The sequence below is a fragment of the Homo sapiens genome, chromosome 10 (genome assembly GCF_000001405.40).
Source record: "Homo sapiens chromosome 10, GRCh38.p14 Primary Assembly".
NCBI classification, from domain to species: domain Eukaryota; kingdom Metazoa; phylum Chordata; class Mammalia; order Primates; family Hominidae; genus Homo; species Homo sapiens.
Window position 1 is genome coordinate 17,355,917 of NC_000010.11, and position 19,682 is coordinate 17,375,598.

At 37.5% G+C, this 19,682-nt stretch overlaps 1 protein-coding gene across 6 annotated transcripts in view; it reads right to left on the reverse strand.

Annotated features, from left to right (window-relative positions):
• The window catches only part of ST8SIA6 (ST8 alpha-N-acetyl-neuraminide alpha-2,8-sialyltransferase 6), a 139,175-nt gene that overhangs the window by 40,496 nt on the left and 78,997 nt on the right, over positions 1-19,682 (reverse strand). For all 6 annotated transcript variants that reach the window (NR_144322.2, XM_017016174.2, NM_001004470.3 and 3 more), the window contains one exon: positions 3,598-3,684. Coding sequence is in view for 2 of the 6 variants with exons in the window: in XM_017016174.2 (XP_016871663.1) it covers positions 3,598-3,684 (87 nt within the window). In the remaining 4 variants the exon portion in view is untranslated. The remainder of the gene's footprint in view (positions 1-3,597; positions 3,685-19,682) is intronic.

Consider the following 19,682-nt stretch of genomic DNA (forward strand, 5'->3'; position numbering starts at 1 on the left):
AATTGGTCTCACCCTCCCTTTGCAGCCATCTTCAGAGTTATAGCTCAAGTTCTGCCTCTTTTCACAAAATATTTCAAAAAACTATATCCCACAGTGATCTTGCATTAATATATGACAGTATTTGTCTAAATCACTCATTCTGATATTCAATCATAAATATTCATACTTATATTTCTTGTCTTTCTAAAGTGACTATAAATTCTTTGAGTTCAGTAAGAAAACATGACACTTTTTTGTTTACTTTCATGCATCCATTTCTTTAATATTTTTTTTTGTTGAGGCCCTATTTTGTGCCCAGCACTCTAGCAGGAACAAAAAAAGACTACAGTGCTCTAAACTATACAGTGCATAGTTTAGAAATATGCCCATAAAAAGAACATTACAATATAATAAATATTCAAGTCAATAAATAAATGTCTGTGTGCCTGTTCTCTTCTATGACAACAAAATGTATTATAGCCCCAGAGGTTTACTTTTTTTTTTTTTTTGAGGTGGAGTCACTCTGTCAGCCAGCCTGCAGTGCAGTGGTACAATTTAGATCACTGCAACCTCTGCCTCTCAGGTTCAAGTGATTCTCCCGCCTCAGTGATTCTTCTGAGTACCTGGGATTACAAGTATGCCCCGTTATGCCCAGCTAATTTTTATATTTTTAGTAGAGATGAGGTTTCACCATGTTGGCCAGGCCAGTTTCGAACTCCTGGCCTCAAGTGATCCACCCACCTCAGCCTCCCAAAGTGCTTGGATTGCAGTTATGAGCCACTGCACCTGGCCTAAGATGTTTACTTAAATTGGCCCTGAAGGGATGGATAGGCCATTTGGAGTAATTGTCATGGTTACTGATGCATTTTTTTTTAATGTGAAAATGGTACTAAGGTAATAATGGCTGTACCCTCCATGGACCAGCCATCTATACAGATTCTATACCTCATAATCTGCAGCAGTGACTTTCATACATCTCTGGATTTGAAGAGACTGATTTTTGTCCAAAAAAAAGAAAGGAAAGGAAGACAAAAGATTTACAGATAATAAGTTATTAAATGGAGCCAGACATTGTGAGTGGATACTTATAGAGATGATTTAAGGCTCTGAATAAGGTTACCTTCCCCCAAGGGAATCCCCAAGAAGGGATTTCCTTCTGCTCCTATCGGGCATCTAAGTTAAGGGCAGATCTAAATCCAGCTCAGGATGGAAATGTTTCAAAGTTGGCCTTCAGTTCTTTTTTTTTTTTCTTTTGAGACGGAGTCTCTCTGTCATGTCACCCAGGCTAGAGGGCAATGGCACAATCTGCAACCTCTGCCTCCTGAGTTCAAGCGATTCTCCTGCCTCAGCCTCCTGAGTAGTTGGGATTACAAGTGCATGCCACCACGCCTGGCTAATTTTTTTTTTTTTTTTTGTATTTTTAGTAGAGACGGGGTTCCACCATGTTGGTCAGGCTGCTTTTGATCTCCTGATCTCGTGATCCACCTGCCTCAGCCTCCCAAAGTGCTGGGATTACAGGCGTGAGCCATACGCCCAGCCCCTTCAGTTCTTTTAAAAACTGGTTTTTCCAGGGATTCAAAGTTGGCCTTCAGTTCTTTTGAAAACTGGTTTTTCCAGGGATTGCTGGAAGCTCTGCTCAGCTTCTCTGCCTCTCAGCCAAATTTTGCTTTTGTATTCGGCAAGTTCTTTATGACAAAAACCAGCCCAAATTGATGGGTTCTTTTCACCTTCTGGGCTTTAGTCCTTTAAATTCTCCCTGCCTTCGTGGCAGGGAGGACCTGCTCCAGTGTCCTCACACAGGTGTTTGGTAGACTTTGTTTTATTTTCATTACTCTCAAGAGGCTTGGTCTGAACTTAACAGCCAGAAGTAAAAGCTCCTATACTCCCTACTTTGATCATTACAGTCATTACAAATCTATCTTTCCAGCTAATTATCTTAGATTGATCCTCAATAGCTCACTACCTGAATCTCTCCCTCTTCTTTTTTTGTCTATTCTGCATATGCAGAAAGGTTTCTCAAAATCAGACTCTGTTATCACTTGTTGACCCTGTGATCATTTAGGTTATGATTGTGCAATTTTCAATCTCATCTTCCTGCCACCAGGACCTCTCAAATCCAGTCTCAAATAGATTGAATTTGGCATAAAACGTCCTGGAAATGAAATCGTTAAACAGGAATCCCCTTTCCAGCCTCTCTTCCTAAAATATCAGATAGGAAAGATGTTTAATGGTATCCTCCAGGAAGTCATGATATCCATGTGTCTACCCAGTGGAGGGAAGATATACCCATTTTAGCTTTGACACCACCAGGAAGGCACTCTTTCACCTACTGGGGGTGGAGCAGAACCCTCCTCACATTGGTAGCAGAATCAAAGGCAGTTGGTCCAATCATACCAGCATATTCTGACTAAAGAAGGAACAGGCAGAGCCACTATATAAGGCAAACAAGAAGAGCTGCCTTCCCACATAAAAAAAGAGAACCATACTGCAGATATTTCTTAGAGTATTTTAGGGGAAAGCAAAATCTCTTTAGTAATTTTTTTACAAGTTTAATGCTTCAAGTAAACTTTGAAAATAATGAGTAAAGATAAAGACATGTCTCTGGATTGTAATAGGATAAAATAATTTGGCATAGCACAAAATTGGAATGGGATGTACAGGAAAAAATCAGAATGTGGAAAAGGAGGAGGAAGAGGAAGAAGGAGGAGAAGGAGGGAGGAAGGAAGGAAAGAAGGAAGGAAGGAGAAGAAAAAGAATAAGGAGGAGGAGGAAAGAAGAAAGAAGAAGAGGAAGAGGAAAAAGGAGGAGGAGGAGGAAAGAAGAAAGAAGAAGAGGAAGAGGAAAAAGGAGGAGGAGGAGGAAAGAAGAAGAGAAAGGAGAAGATGATGAGGAAGAAGGAGGAGGAAAAAGAAAAGAAGCCCCGCCCCCCAAAAAAACCAGAGCAATCTAGACCAAGCACAGAGACAACTGACCTTGATCTATGATATGTGGAGGTATGGGGGTAAGAACTATCAGATAAGTACTGATGCTGCCTCACTGCATATTGCTTTAACAAAATTTATTCCTGTCTGGATGGGCTACAAGTTTTCCAGCTACAGCCCTATAATGGTCAAGTGATAACCTGGTTTTGCCAGTTGACACCTCCTTCCTGGGTTATTACTTAAAGCAACTCACGCCCCTGAATGTCACTTGTGTTAAAAAGTGAATGAGGAAAAACTGGTAGAAAACAAAAGTTGTTCTAAAGGGATGGGATTAGAGATTATGTTTTCCAAACATACTTTAATACGATGACATTTTATTTACTAAACAAATAAATACTAAATGTAAATGGTACCAAAAAACACAACATCTTCTAAAATATAACTTACAAAACATACTAAAATCTTTCTTTTGAATTTGGGAACTTTTGTAATTCAAACAGTAACATAATGCAAATTTATACACAAGAGATGGAGATGGAATGCCCTGTGCCTCATGAGAGGGTCTTAGAATTCAGTTGGCCTCATTGCCAGCTGGGGTTGGTTCTACTTCTCTTTTTAATAACATATTGCCTATTTTTCTACAAAGCAAATGAACAAGACATTTTTAAAATCTCATATTATTTATGAAAAAAATTACCTAAAATTTGCATATTCTTCTGCTTGCCGTTTCCATGGACAACTCTGTATATCTGTGATAATCTGAAGGTAGTCGTTCTCTGAATACCTAAAAATTAAATGTCAATATAATTAGAAAATAATGATCTCATATGTAAGTCTTCTTAGAAGATACTGTTATAATCTACTCCCTTTAGTCTATAAATATTTTTTGATATAAGGTGAGGCAGAAATAATTAAAATCATACTCATTTCAAAACACTGAGAAAATACAATTTGTAAATGATTATTATGTTGGTTTAGGGATTTATAATTTGCACATGTCATAAGCCAAGTGTAGTATTAAAAACCGTGACAACACACCAACTTGCATATGTATCTAATGGACATTTCACCTTGGCTTAAAATAATTGACAAATATATATTTATAGATGTTTTATAGATGTTTGCCATAAATATGTACTCAATAGATTTTTTCAGACTCTAAGTTCACATATTTACCTTGGAATGTATAGGCAAAATTTTCCTCCAAATAATTATCTTAAGTTATAATTTTGAACTGTACATTCAACACCCAGATTGGACTGTTGAGAGAGAAGTTTATTGACATAAAAATCTATAGGTAGAGTGGTATAGTTTGAGAAGCACTGAGCAGGATCCCAGTCCCTGGTAGATCTCTCCCTGTCTGAAATTCCACCATTAAGTATTAATTTCTAAAGCACAGAATATCCTTTAGTCTTTGCGTTCTCATTTGAAATGCAAGTATCCCTTTGAGTGAGAAAACTCTTAAATTTTATTTCAATTAGTAACTTATTCATTAGTTGCCAGGTATTAGTGATCAAAGGCTCTACAACAATGAGATAGAATATATGTTGAAGACATAATGGAGAAGAAAAATGAAACCAGACTAATATCTAGATTGACAGAACATGATGAGTACTGGGAACGGAAAATATTCACATATACATGAAAGACTTTTTCTTATTTTTCTAAGTCTTCTTGAAAGAAAATTGTTTAAAGTGACTATAATAATATTTGAGGTGGGCTTATATATGTAGACATAAATGCATGAACTATAGAACAAAGGCCAGAAAGAGGTGGGGGTGGGAAAGTGGAAATAGAAGTGATATAAATCATTTGACAACTGACACCAATAAGAAAAAGATGAACACTCTTCACCTAAAACAACGAGCAAAACCAAACAAAATCATTAAAATGTTATCATAAAAATAATCCAAAGGCAGGCAGAAAAAGAGGGAAGGGAACAAAGAACAGGTAAATAGAGAACAAACAGCAAGATGGCAGATTTAGGCCCAACTGTGTGACTAATCTCAACAAATATAAATGATCTAGGCATACCAATTAAAAGGCAAAAAATTTCAAACTGGGAGAAGAAAGAAGATGACGAAGAAGAAGAAGAGGAAGAAGGGAAGAAGAAGAGGAAAAGGAAGAAGAAGAAGAAGGAGGAGGAGGAGAAGAAGAAGGAGAAGAAGAGGGAGAAGAAGAATCAACCAATCCACATGTTGTCTACATGAAGCATATTTTGTATAAATAAGCAAATAAAAGTAAAAAGAATCATTAAAACAAAGTTAGAAGGGCTATATTCATAGTGTATTTCTGAGCAAGGAATATTACTACAAGAAAATAATATTCCCAAGCAAAGAATATTAGTGAAAAATGAGATTAGAGTAGAAATTGATAAAATCTTTAAAATTCAATGAGATGAAAAGCTTGTTCTTTGAAAACATCAATTAAATTGATAAAAACTCTTGCCACACTGATTAGAAAAAAGTCAGAGAAGATACAAATGACCAGTACCAGAAATGAGAGAGGATGGAGCATTAAGAATCCTTAAAACATTAAAAGTATAATAACTTTATGCCAAAATAGTTGGTGACTTAGGTGCAGTGGAGATATGTGTTGAAAGACACAAACTACCAAAGGCCACTCAAGAAGAAATTAATAACATAAATAGTCCTATAGCCATTAATAATATTGATTTTGTAATTAAAATTCTTCCTACAAAACACACACACACACACACACACACACACACACACGGCCCAAATGGCTTCACTGGAGAATTTTATCAAACATTTAAGGAATATTAATACCAATTGTATGCAAAGTCTTCTAGAAAATTGAAGGGAGTAAGATACTTCCCAACTCACTATATGAGAACAGGGTTACCCTGATACAAAAATAAGGAAAAGACATTGGGAAAAAAAAAAAAAAACCGGGCAGGCCAACATTTCTTATAAAGATAGATGCAAAAAATCCTCGACAAAATATTATTGAATTGAATCCAACAACATGAAGAAAGGATAAAGCACTGTGACCTACTGAGGGGTATATCAGAAATTTGGTTTATTTTAAAATCAATCAAAGCAGCTCACCATATTAACATAATTTTAAAAAGCACAAATAATAATCTCAGCACACAAAAGGATTTGACCTGATCCAACATTCAGCAATGACAAAAACCCTCACTGTAAAACAGAATTTCCACAATTTGATAAAGGACATTTGCAAAAACACCTATGGCTAGGATCATACTTAATGGTGAAAGACTGAATGATGAATGCTTTCCCCCTAAAATCAGGAAAAAGACATGATTGTCCACTTTCACCATCTCTATTCCACATTGTATTAGAGGTCCAACCAATGCAATAAAGAAGAAAAGGAAATAAAGCCATCCAGATTAAAAAGGAAATAGTAAAACTGTCTTTATTCAGAGATGACATAATCATCTAATGATTGTAGAAATGATGTATACATATTCCAACACTTGACAAATTATACACTTAAGTTGAAGTTCATTGAACATTACTCCTCAAAAAACTTTTAAATGTTTATTACTAAACTAAAAATTATATTTTCAATGATGCTATAACTAAGATAATAAGCATTACATATCAGCCATTTTTAAGGATCAAATATCTAAAATTTGAAATTTGATTTATTATGAACCTACAGTATATTTAAATTGATATACTTTTTTAAAGAGTTCCCTGGATAGCTAAGATGCTACTTCCTATGAGCGCTCAGACTGCTTTGACCAACGTTTCTATAATAGCCTCTCTCATGTTAAATTTAATTATGACTTTACATGTTGGTTTCTTGGTCTCGTCCTTCCCCTCAGGACTTTGAGGACTGACCTTTTCTAGCCCAGCACAATCCCTACGACATGCTGATTTGTTTTCATTAACCTAGGAAATGCATTTTATTTATTTATTTAGAGATGGAGTCTCGCTTTGTTGCCCAGGCTGGAGTGCAGTGGTGGGATCTCGGTTCACTGCAACCTCCGCCTCCCAGGTTCAAGCTATTCTCCTGCCTCAGCCTCCTGAGTAGCTGGGATTACAGGCGCGCGTCCCCATGTCCGGCTAATTTTTGTATTTTTAATAGAGACGAGGTTTCACCATGTTGGTCAGGCTGATCTCGAACTCCTGACCTTGTGATCTACCCACCTCGGCCTCCCAAAGTGCTGGGATTACAGGCCTGAGCCACCGTGCCTGGCCTGGAAATGCATGTTTAAATATAAATACAACATGTAATGAGGTCATAAACTATTCTGAATAAGCTCAAAGCTTGGATTATGATTTCCACTTAAAACTTCCCTCAGTACTGACTTACTTCCACTGACTTTTCCTATTTACAAATCTCCCCATTTAAAGCCCAGCCCTCCTTCAATGTATCTATCGCTTGAGAATTCTCACGTTAGAGCTCAATAGCTCATTAGTCAATTTTCTCAATCCAGTAATCCAATTCAGCTAGTTTCTTAGCATTAAAGGCATGCATATGTGTGTGTGTGTGTGTGTCCTGTTAAACTACTACCCCCTTTTTCCATGAGTAACGCATACATTAACTGTACCCATCTTCCTTTTTGAGCTCCCTCAATAATGATCAATGTAGAACTTGCCAATTAGTTCACATAGGAAATTGAGAAAGGGGTTTATATTGCTTGGTAGTAGTGATGTAACCTCTGCAACTTAAAGAATACAATAAATCCCTCCTTTTGGCTGACTCGTGGACTTGAGAGTAATCTCCTTTCTCAGCCCTCTTTGTTGGCATGGCATGGGTGTGAGGATCCTCTCGTCCTTTCCTCCATACTTTATCTTATTAATATGCTGGAGTTGGCTCATACAAGCTTATGGGAGCTGACCGCTAAGCTTTCAGGAATGTTGTGAACAGGTTATTAAACTATTGGTAGCTTGAAATCAGCCAAAGTGGAAGCATTTACACCACAGGAATTGGCAAATTTGACAAATCAGGTTTCTCTGCTTCCCCCCTCCACCCAAGCTGATAGTAAAACATGAATGAGCTCACCATAGCTCCTATACTTCTCATCCCAGCTGTGAGCCTGTTGGGCTGGCTCATACTCATTCATTATCCCCATAGTTTGAGCTTCATTGAGGCTTGCTGAAAAGGCCAGGTAAGACTTTGCTGCCACATCTAACTCATCAAATAAGACTGATCCAGAGAGGTTCTGGGTTATACAAAACTATCATATAACATCCAAACAGCAAGTACTACCTTAGCAAATTAAAGATTACTTTATTACTACCAAAATTTTGTGCAAATGCTCCTGATACTTTTATTTTAGCTTACTTGAAAAGCAGAGATTGTTTTGCAATCATTCTTGCCTGTATATTGAGCTTAGTCTGGAACATTAAAATTGCCATCCATGGACAACTGGGAAAAATGTGCATTGTAGAATATGGATAGTCTTTAAAATATTTTGTTTTAAACATCACTCCCCCTATATGTTGTAGCTGGTTCCAATTTAACCTAATATTGAAAGACGCCAATCATAATGTATCTAAGCTTACTGGTAGGTTAGCTGAATAAAATGGCCTTTGACTTTATGGTAACTGGTATGTAAAACCAAGTGAATACCTTATAGCAGACCCATCTATTATTAGATATACTTCTGGCCATTTTACAATTGGAAGACAGTACTCAAGGTACTTACTCCCTGAGATTAAGTGTTCAAAAAATCATTTTTATGTCCAATCTGGAAATGAAGCCTTATCCTCTGACGTTATAGAGGGGAAGACAAAAGAATAAGGGATATAAAAGGGAATTTTTTTCTAAGTGCTTGCCCTTTTTAGTGAAAGTTAAATCACCAACAGCTTTTTGAGAAAATTAAGATTGCCACAGGATCATCACAATTATAAAATGGAAGCATGGTTGTAACCAAAAATCATTTGAGGAGGAAAAACCACATGTGTGCTCCAGCTGTGGGCCAAGTTGGGGATAGGTGTATCTCTGCAACAGCTTCCTGTTAAGTAAAATGTTCTAAATCACATCATATTTTCTGCACACTTACATATATAATTGATTTTCAGTTTATAAAGCACAGATCTCACCCCAAAATCTTGGGAGGTAGCTCTGCTTCAGATATCATTTCTGTTTTTCTGGATGACAAAACTGAAAGTTCTGAGAAGATAAACAGCTTGCTCAATATTGCCTTGTATGTAGATGAGCTAAGAATTAAACTCATGTCTTTTGATTCACATTCTGGCTCTTACCAATATATCATATTGTATCTCATCTATTTTCATAATGAAATTGAAAATTAATCCCATCAGAAATGTTTTCTGTCCCAAGACATAAAATAAATCACACTAAATAATGCAGCAAGTTATGTTCAAAAGAATAATGTCTATTTAAATCATTATTAGTAATACTCGAACCACAAATTATAAATAACCTACTAAATGATAATAAATGTCATATTAAAATTTTAAACATTTTTCTAGAAACGTCTCTTTGAAGATGAAGACCCACATGCTGTGACTACTTTTATCTCAATTAAGATATAAATAGGGCTTTTCAAGCACTATAATTTATGGTTAATTAATAAAATGGTTAAATATTTACAGTAGTTCCCCCTTACATATGGTTTCATCCTCTTCAGTTCCAGCCACCCATGGTGAACCACAGTCCAAAAATATTAAATGGAACCTTCCAGAAATAAACAATTCATAAGTTTAAAATCGTGGACTGCTCTGAGTGAGCTATGAAATCTCACATCATCCTGCTCCATCCTGCCTGGGATGTAAATCATCCCTCCATTCAGCAGATCCACCCTGTCTGTGCCACCTGCCTGCTGACTTAGTTACTTAGTAGCCATCTCAGTTATGAAACTGAAAGAACATAGTATACATAGGGTTCTGCATTATCTGTGGATTCAGGCATCCAAAGAGGGTCTTGAAAAATATCCCATGCAGATAAGGGGAACTACTGTATTGGGTACTTACTAAGTACATAGAAGTTATCTTGGAGATACTGATTTACTAGTCTTATGTAAGCAGCTGAGATACCAATTTGGTTTCCTATGACATCTCTTCATGGTGAAAGCCAGCCATTTTTCATCCATTGAAATGGGTGGGAACAACACAGTAATATTAAGTCAGTAGTTTTCTGAGTGATGTTCTGTGTAGATCAAAAAGTCTTTTGCAGCATTTTCACCAAGCCCCTGAAGAGCTCAGCTCTGCTTGAAAAAATTCTGCAAACGAGTACAGTGCTACAAGACTTTCAGTCAATACAGTCAATCATTTCCACTGGGTAATACTCTTTAAAGGAATAGCTAATGAGTGTATGAAAGCCAAACTAGGAGAAGTGTGTGGCTGGTAGACTGAGTTGAGCTATGCAGTGGCACCGACATTTCATCCACTAAAGGTAGAAGAGTTCAATTTACATTGTTTTCAGCTATGCACGATGGTAACTTCTAATTAGAGTGTCATGGGTATTGTCAACCAGCATGGGAAAAAGGGATCTGCAACTTTTATTTTCTCCATATCTTTAAATGTCCCTAAGACAAGTTAAATAAATATTAGAACACAGCTTCAGAGATTAACTCCTGAAGATGCCAATGTACTTCTTCACAGCCCCAGTGAAATCTCCAAAGTGCTGTACTGTATTATTTGAAAAAGCCAGGCATCCTTTTCTTTTTTTTTTTCAAGGGATGCTTCCTTTGTTCTACAAAATTAACTTATTGGGTACTGGTATTAAGTATATACTTAAGATGTGCTAGGAAATGCTGTGAGCAGTGACTAACCTCAGCCAACCAAGAGGGAATGGTGTATCTGTTTACAAAGAGGTGGGATGTGACGTAGCAAAAGCTATAGATTGGTGGAGCACACTAGGGCCGTCAACAGGGTAGAGTAAGAGAGCTGTTACCACCCCCAAATCTACAGGTGACCCAGAAAGAGCTGTGATTGTAGGTGAAGACAAGGGTGGTAGCCTTTGGTAGAAGATGCAGTCATCCCTAATCCCAGCCCACAGAGAGGGATCCATGGGAGTAAATCCCCCAAACTGTCTCTCTTTCCACCTTCCATTCTCCTGCCAATGACTCCCATAGGCCAAACCTAACCAGAACCCAAAGGGTAAGAGAAAGAGGGTCCAACTAATGTAGTCCAAGGAAGTCAGCCTCAAGGACATGCAGCAAGAAGAAAAAGCACAGATGGTAGATCTGAATGATCAGCCAAGAATTTATAGCACAAACAGCAATTTATTTATGATGTTAGTTCTCAGCATTATTTTGGGGTAACTGAATTGTACTTCAATGGAAAATTTGATACAATGCCAAAATCAAGCAGTAGCTCACAGCAAAATACAAAACAGAATTTTCAGTATCTTGAAGCTTCGTGTATTAGTCCATTTTCATACTGCTATGAAGAAATACCCAAGACTGGGTAATTCATAAAGAAAAAGAGGTTTAATGAACTCACAGTTCACCATGGCTGGGGAGGCCTCACAAACATGGAGGAAGGCAAAGGAGGAGCAAGTGTACATCTTACATGGTGGCAGGCAAGAGAATATGTGCAGGGGAACTGCCCTTTATAAAACCATCAGATCTCTTGAGACCTATTTACTGTCATGAGAACAGCACGAGAAAACCCGCCCCCATGATTCAATTACCTCCCCCCAGGTCCTTCCCACAACACATGGAGATTATGGGAGCTGTAATTCAAGATGAGACTTGGGTGAGGACACAGCCAACCATATCACTTCTTCTTCACAAATATCTGCAACCTGCAAATATATCACCAGGATAAAGAGAATCAATAAACAAATAATGAGTCTGATATTTAAGAGTTTTGAATTTCCTCTTGTCATACAATCACTGTTAGATTTCTAAAGATGAAAAAAATGATGACCCATTTTTCAAGTTTCAAGGAAATCTCCAGATGTATAAGAGAATATTGAGAGATGAAAGTGACAATTTAGTGATCTTATACCATCAGTTTTTACAAGTAAGACCTATAAATTGCAGAGTCTGATAAAACCAATAAATTCACTATTTCACCATTTCTTGAAGTTACAACAGTAAATAAGCAAGCATGCATAAAACACCTGCTAAGATTCTTAAACCATATATGAGTGGCTATTAACCTTTTGCATCTTTAATTGTCCGAACACACATAAGCAGAGCTGACCCTTCCCTCCCTCCTGACTCTCCTTTGCACCACCCCTATATCTATTACGTATCCGTACAGCACTTATCCTTTTATTTTCATATATTTATTGAAAAAATATTTATTGCGCATTTGCTATGCATGAGACACTGTTCTATGCATCAGTAATAACCAACAAAACACAAAAATCTATGTTCTCCGCCAGGCGCAGTGGCTCACGCCTATAATCCCAGCACTTTGGGAGGCCAAGGCGAGTGGATCACCTGAGGTCAGGAGTTCGAGACCAGCCTGACTAACATGGACAAATCCTGTCTCTACAAAAAAAAAAAAAAAAAAAAAAAAAATTACAAAATTAGCCAGGCATGGTGGCACATGCCAGCTACTCGTGAGGCTGAGGCAGGAGAATTGCTTGAACCTGGGAGGCAGAGGTCACAGTGAGCTGAGATCGCACCATTGTACTCCAGCCTGGGCAACAAGAGTGAAGCTCTGTCTCAAAAAAAAAAAAAAAAAAAAAAAAATTCTATGTTCTCGTGAAGTTTATATTGTAGTAACGGTTGATAGCAAACTGAAATAATACATACATTAATAGCATGTTAAAGTGCTAGGTACTTCAATGTACTAAGTAATACAAAAACAAAAAAAAAGGAAAGAAGGACAATAGAAAAAGAAAGTACGAGGAATAGTGTTGCAGTTTGTGTAGAGTGGCCAAGGAAGCCCTCACTGAGAGGTGGTAATTGAGCAAATACTTGAAAAAAGTATTAAGTAATTAATAAAGTAATAATTAAGTAAGCTGTGCAAATATAAGGGGGTGGTGCAAGTGTGGGGAGACCATTCTGGGCAAAATGAAAGAAATTGTAAAGGCTGGAGGTAAAGGCAGGCATGGTGTGTTTGAGGGACACGAAATGATGTGGGTGGCTGTAATCCACCTCTGAGTCACTCATGAATCCAGTCATGAAGGTGGCAGGAGATGAGATCAGAAAGGTAATAAGAAGTCTGATGCTATTGGCCTTGCTATTCAAAGGGTGGACCTGAGACTAGTGGTACTGGCATCACATAGGATAGGCTTGTTAAGAATGCAGTATCTCAGGCCCCATCCCTGACTCACAAAATTAGAATCTATATTGAAACAAAATCCCACAGGTGATATGTAGTTAAAAGTTTTTAGTAGCTTGATTGCGACATAATTTGTATGCCACACAATTCACCCATCATATATGTACTGTTAAGTGGTTGTTATATTCACAGATACGTTCAAACATCATCGCAGTCAATTTTACAACATTTTAATCACCTCAAAAAAAAATCCTGTATCCTTTATTACCCCCTGCATCCCATAAGTTTTGGTATGCTATGTCTTCATTTTCATTCATCTTAAAGTATTTTCTGATTCTCCTTTTGATTTCATCTTGGATGCACTGGATATTTAGAAATGTGTTGTTTAATTCTCACCCATTTGTGAGTTTTCCAAATTGTTTTTCTGCTATGTATTTCAAATATCACTTCATTGTGATCAGATATTATGCTTTGTATTATTTCTATTCTTTTAAATGTACTGCATTTAAAAAAATGATCTAACACATGGTATATCCCGGAGAATGATTTGTGTGCTTTTGAGAAGATCATCATAGTCTGTTGTTACATGGAGTGCTTAAGTCTGGTGGGTTTATGGTGTTCTTCAGGGTCTTCTATTTCCATGATAATCTTTTTCTCATTGTTCTATCCACTATTGAAAGTGGATATTGAAGTTTTGAATTATTATTGTTGACTTGTTTCTCTCTTTGCTTCATGTATTTTGGTGCTGTTATTAGGTGCATACATGTTTATAATTATTATATATTGCTAATGGATGACCTTTATCATATAAAATCTCCTTCTTTATCTCTTAACTTTATTGTTTTAAAAGTCTATTCTGTCTGATATCAGTAGAGCCACTCCAGCTTTCTTGTGGTTGCTATCTGCACAATGTAACTTTTTCCATCCTTTTACTTTCAATCTATTGTATCTTTGAGTCTAAAGTGTGTCTTCTGTAGACAGCATAGAATTGGATCATGTTTTTAATTCAGTGTGACAATCACTGACTTTTTTTTTTTTTTTGGAGACGGAGTCTAGCTCTGTCGCTGCAGTGGCATGATCTCGGCTCACTGCAAGCTCCGCCTCCTGGGTTCACGCCATTCTTCTGCCTCAGCCTCCCCAGTAGCTGGGACTACAGGCGCCCGCCACCACACCTGGCTAATTTTTTTTTGTATTTTTAGTAGAGATGGGGTTTCACCATGTTAGCCAGGATGGTTTCGATCTCCTGACCTCGTGATCCGTCCGTCTCGGCCTCTCGAAGTGCTGGGATTGCAGGCGTGAGCCACCACGCCCTGCCTGACAATCTCTGACTTTTGATTGGGTGATTTAATCCATTCAAATTTAATGTTGTTATTTATATAGTTAGATTTATGTCTGCTATTTTACTTTTTGTTTGCTGTATGTTTCATATTCTTTTTTGTTTCTCTATTCTTCTTTTATAGCTTTGTTTTGACTTAGGTAAATATTTTCTAATGTAGCATCTTAACATCTTTTATAATTTTAACTATTTTCAATGTGGTTGCTCTAAGGTTTACCATACACAACTTATCAGAATCAGCTTCAAATTTATACTAGTTTAATTGTAGGGATACATAGGAATATTATTCCTACATAGCTCTATTCTTTTTTCTCCTTAATTATGATATTATTATTATAGGTATTAGGCCTATTAATGTTACAAACCCAACTATACCTTGTTATCATTATTACTTTATCATCTCTTGTCATTTCTATAGCACAGTATACCTTTGCTCCAACCCACTTCCTTGGTGCTGTTAATGGCAAACGTATGCATATATATTTGGGAAGCACTTGTAAGAAACTTGCAGGTCACTGGAAGAACTTTGTCCTTTATTTTGAGTGAAATTAAAAGACTTTGGAGCAGAGAAGTTATCTGTCTACTTACAGAAATAGGATCCCCCTACCTACTTTGTTGAAAATAGTCCTTAAGAGAGCAAGAGGTAGAAGTTGAGAGAAAATTAAGAGATGTTTGCCATAATCCAGCAGCAGGATGAAGGTGGCTTAAACCAAAGTAGGATTGGTGGGGTTAGGAAGAAATCAGCAGCTTCTGGATTTGATTTGAAGGTAGCCAATAAGATTTAATTATAGATGGGACATGGTATGGCTAAAAAGAGAGGAATCAAGGATAACTTCAAAGTTTCAGGCCCAAGGAACTGACAGGATAGACACGTCATTAACTGATACAGGGAAGAGTGCTAAAGTGCAAAGTTGAGAGGGAATTCCAGGACATCAGTGTGAGACAGACTAGGTTTGAGATCCCTTACAGGCATTCCAGGAAAGCTCTGACTGGGCAGAGATACATACAAATCTGCAAAGAGGTTCAGGTGGGAGATAGAAATTTGAGAATTGTCAGTATGGTATTTAAAAACATGAGACTAAATGAGGTCCCGGATGGATGAGGATGAAGAGAAATGAGGCCTGAGGATTGAATTCTGGGGCATCCAGTGTCAAAAATAAGGAGACGTGAGAAGGAATCTACAGTGAAGAATGAGAAGGGCCTGGGCACACTGGCTCATTCCTGTAATCTCAACACCTTGGAAGGGAGAGGTGGGAGGATGACCTGAGATCAGGAGTTTGACACCAGCCTAGCCAACATGGTGAAACCCCTTCTCGACTAAAAATACAAAAAGTTAGCAGGGCGTGGTGGTGCACGCCTATAATCCCAGTTACTTGGGAGGTTGCGACAGGAGAATCGCTTGAACCCAGGAGGCAGGGGTTGCAGTGAGCCAAGGTCATGCCATTGCACTCCAGCCTGGGTGACAGAGCAAGACTCCATTAAAAAAAAAAAAAAAAAAAAGAAAGAAAGTAAAAAATGAGAAGGGAAAGCCACTGTATGATAAATATTTGTTTAAATGTACAACTCTCTTAATATACTGTGGACTGCTAAGAAATAGAAATAATATATTTATTGTCATGCTCCTTATATACAAGAGTTCTAAATCCATTCTCAACCATGTATACTTTGAAAAAGCTCACCAGTGAGTCTAATGCACTCTCCAGGTCGAAAATAACTCTTCCTATGCTTGCCATGGTATTGGGCACTTAGTAGTTGCTTTGTATTTCTGAAATTAATATTTAATGTACGACTAGAACTTAAAAATGTCCAAAGCTTTCAGACATCAATTTTGAACAATGACAATAATTAGCCATCAGCCAGGATCTTACCAAGAGAAACCATACTGATACCCGAGCTTCAAGTAGGGTACTGCTACGTAAGATAATGCTATCTAAGTATATTTCTATCATGGACGCTTGTGTAAAATAAGTAACAAAAAGTGAGGAACGTGTGTTACTATTTTGGAGCTGGATCACTTTTGAATAGCTTCACATTATAAAATCAAAATCCAATGCTTTCCGTTTTCAAATTTCTGACTTAAAATTCTGCTGTCATTAAGAGTGGTGCCTCGGAGTAGTGGAAATAGAATAGTTAGAATTTTATCCAAATCCCAGCTCTGCTATTTGTAACTGGCTGATGTTCTGCAAGCCAACCTCAGAGCTCATTTGTCTCACTTGTAAAATTAAAATAGTAAAACCTACTCTGAAGAAATATCGCAAGAACTATACATACATTTAAATTACCTGGCAGAGAGTCGGCCCACAGAAATGGTAATTGTGACTATCACTATTGATTATTACAGTAATAATAATTATCGTCATTATGACAAAAATATAATAATGTAAAGGATTATGAACTGAGTAATGGGTTAGTTACCCATGACTATGTAACAAATTACTCCAAAACTTAGTGGCTTAAAATAACAGTAAACATTCATTATTGCACAGAACTCACAAAGTCTCTTATGACCTTTCTTGAAAGTCACACATTATTTCTGCAATATTCTATTGGTTTCATGGGGCAGCCCTCTTTAGGCTGACAGGGACTATAGAAGTGTATAAATACCAGGAAGAGAGGATCTTTAAGGCTGTGATCTGAGAGACCAAAATAGATGCCCTTTTATGAACTATGAAGGATCACAAGGTTAGGAAAACAAAAGTTACCTACAGATCGAGGGTACAGGGCATCCAGCATGGCAACTCCATAAATTCCCACGGCTGCAAGAAAAAACACACTCTTTCTAAACTCCCTAACAGGAGCTATCAGGCAATTTATCAGGCTGATTTATAACCCAGATAACCTCACCTCTGATTGGACGGAGGACAGCCTTACAAACATTGTTTTCTGACAAGCAACTCCAGCAGATCTTACACCAATTTCATCAGCTTATAGAGGCTGTGCACAAACTGTCTTTGTGTCCTATAGTTCACCTTTTGACATAAAGGAGCCAAATTCCACCTCATTTAAATCCTAAAACCCACCCCAAAGTGAATATGGGATGTATGTTACATATATAGCACATGCATTTGACTCCCCCTTATAAATATGCATAACTTTTCCCCAAAACCTGCTGAATATGTTTGACTTTACCATGTAATACAGACCCTGCGAGGCATAAAACCCAACCTGCTCTTCCTCTCTTTAAAGAGAGAGCACCTATGGTCCACGCTGGAGACTCTCTTCCCAGTTTGCAGACTGATACTGCCAATAAAGCCCTCCTTTCTACTATTTTAGCCGTTCGGATGGTCTTTTGGATGACAGTCACCTTGCAGCTCTGGCTACCACAAATAGCAAATAAACTATACCTTTAACATTGCCTGTTATATTTGAAGGCATTGAAAACAGCAACAGATTTGCTATCTTTCCCGGTGCCACTTTTAAAATTGAAAATAATTCCAATTATTTCTCAATGACTTTAAATAAATTTGATTATTTTTATTACCATGGTCTTCCCAAAAAGGCTTCATTCAAATGACTAGTTATTTGAGGAACTATGAGGAAGCCTTCTGATATGAATGCGTAATCAACATTGTAGTCTAGCAAGCCAGTGTTTCCATTTTTCTCTGAGAGAAAATTCAGTTTTGTTTCCAGTGACAAATACTTATAATAAAATAATACATGATTCCAATCTTCAGCATAGTAAAAATGATAGTAAGGAAATCTTACCAAGTGTTAATTAAGGAATTCAGATTAGGATTATGCTAGTTATCTTTTAACATCAACAACCACCACACACACACACACACACACACACACACACACACACACACACGGGAAAAGTAGTCTATTTCTCATCCTCCCACTAACAGATTGCGTGACTTTGAACAAATCATAATCCCATTTTTTTATCTTTAAACTGAGGGAGTTAAAAAAAAAAGTCATACATGCTCATAATTGAAACAAACAATATACGAATTCAAATAATTTAAGAGAGACTATGCTTTCAAACTCTTAGACTGTAGTTGTTTTTCATGTACTCTTTGAAGTACAGAATGATTGTTAAACCACCTTTTAATAAATTTGACATAACTTTTGTTTAAATGCAAACATTTTCAGAGGCTTCTATCATACTCTCAATATTATTACCTCTGCAGGGTGTGGTGGCTCATGCCTATGATTATAGGCCTCCCAGCACTTTGGGAGGCCAAGGCGGGTGGATCATCTGAGGTCAGGAGTTCGAGAGCAGCCTGGCCAACATGGTGAAACCCCATCTCTACTAAAAATACAAAAATTAGCCAGGCATGGTGGCGGGCACCAGCTTCTTGGGAGGCGGAGGTAGGAGAATCACTTGAAACTAGGAGGCAGAGGTTGCAGTGAGCGGAGATCGTACCACTGCACTCTAGCCTGGGTGACAGAATGAGGCTCTGTCTCAAAAATAAATAAATAAATAAATAAATAAATAAATAATAAATATATATATATATATTTAGCTCAACTGCCCTCCCAACTTGAAATTTTATATCAGCAAACACAGCCTTTGCTTTGATTACCAAGAAGAATTTCCCAAAATACTAAGAATGTAGTGTGTTGGTATGAATGGCTGTTTTGTGTGGATGTAATATTTTCTGATCTATAACTCTTCTTTTTTTCCAGTTTCATATATATATATTTTGAGACAGGGTCTCACTCTGTCACCCAGGCTGGAGTGCAGGGTTGTGATCATAGCTCACTGCAGCCTCAACCTCCTGGCCTCAAGCGATCCTCCAGCCTTAGCCTCCGAAAGCAATGGAATTACAGGTGTGAGCCACCATGCCCAGCTCTGGAACTCTTAAAAACTGATGAGAAAAGGCAAGTTAAAAGGTCAGAGGTGAGTAGAAAGACAAAAATGTACACATCGCTTTAAAAAGCAATCAAAGCACCATAGATTTAAAGTAGAATGGAAACAAGTCATACATCATTCTAGGCCAAGAAAATCTTGTCTATGACCAAAAATCTTTCTTCCTGATGGACAACTTGAAACTTAGGACTACTTGCATAGTTAGCAGGCTTTCAAGTGATATGCTCACACTTGGGCTTTTTGAAGTTTGATCGGCCATAATTTATGCCTTTTCTTTTCAAGCAGCAATCAGGTCATGTTGTTCTCTCCAGGATAATAGAGTGAAGAACACTTAGGGCAAGTCTTCAGTTCACTTTGCATTTCACCCTGCAAAACGGTGCCTCCCGAGTAGCAACTTTATGCCACCCCATGAGGAACATATCTTTCAGAAAATTCAATTGTTCTCAGTGATTTTAAGTGGTACAGCATGAAATAGCTCA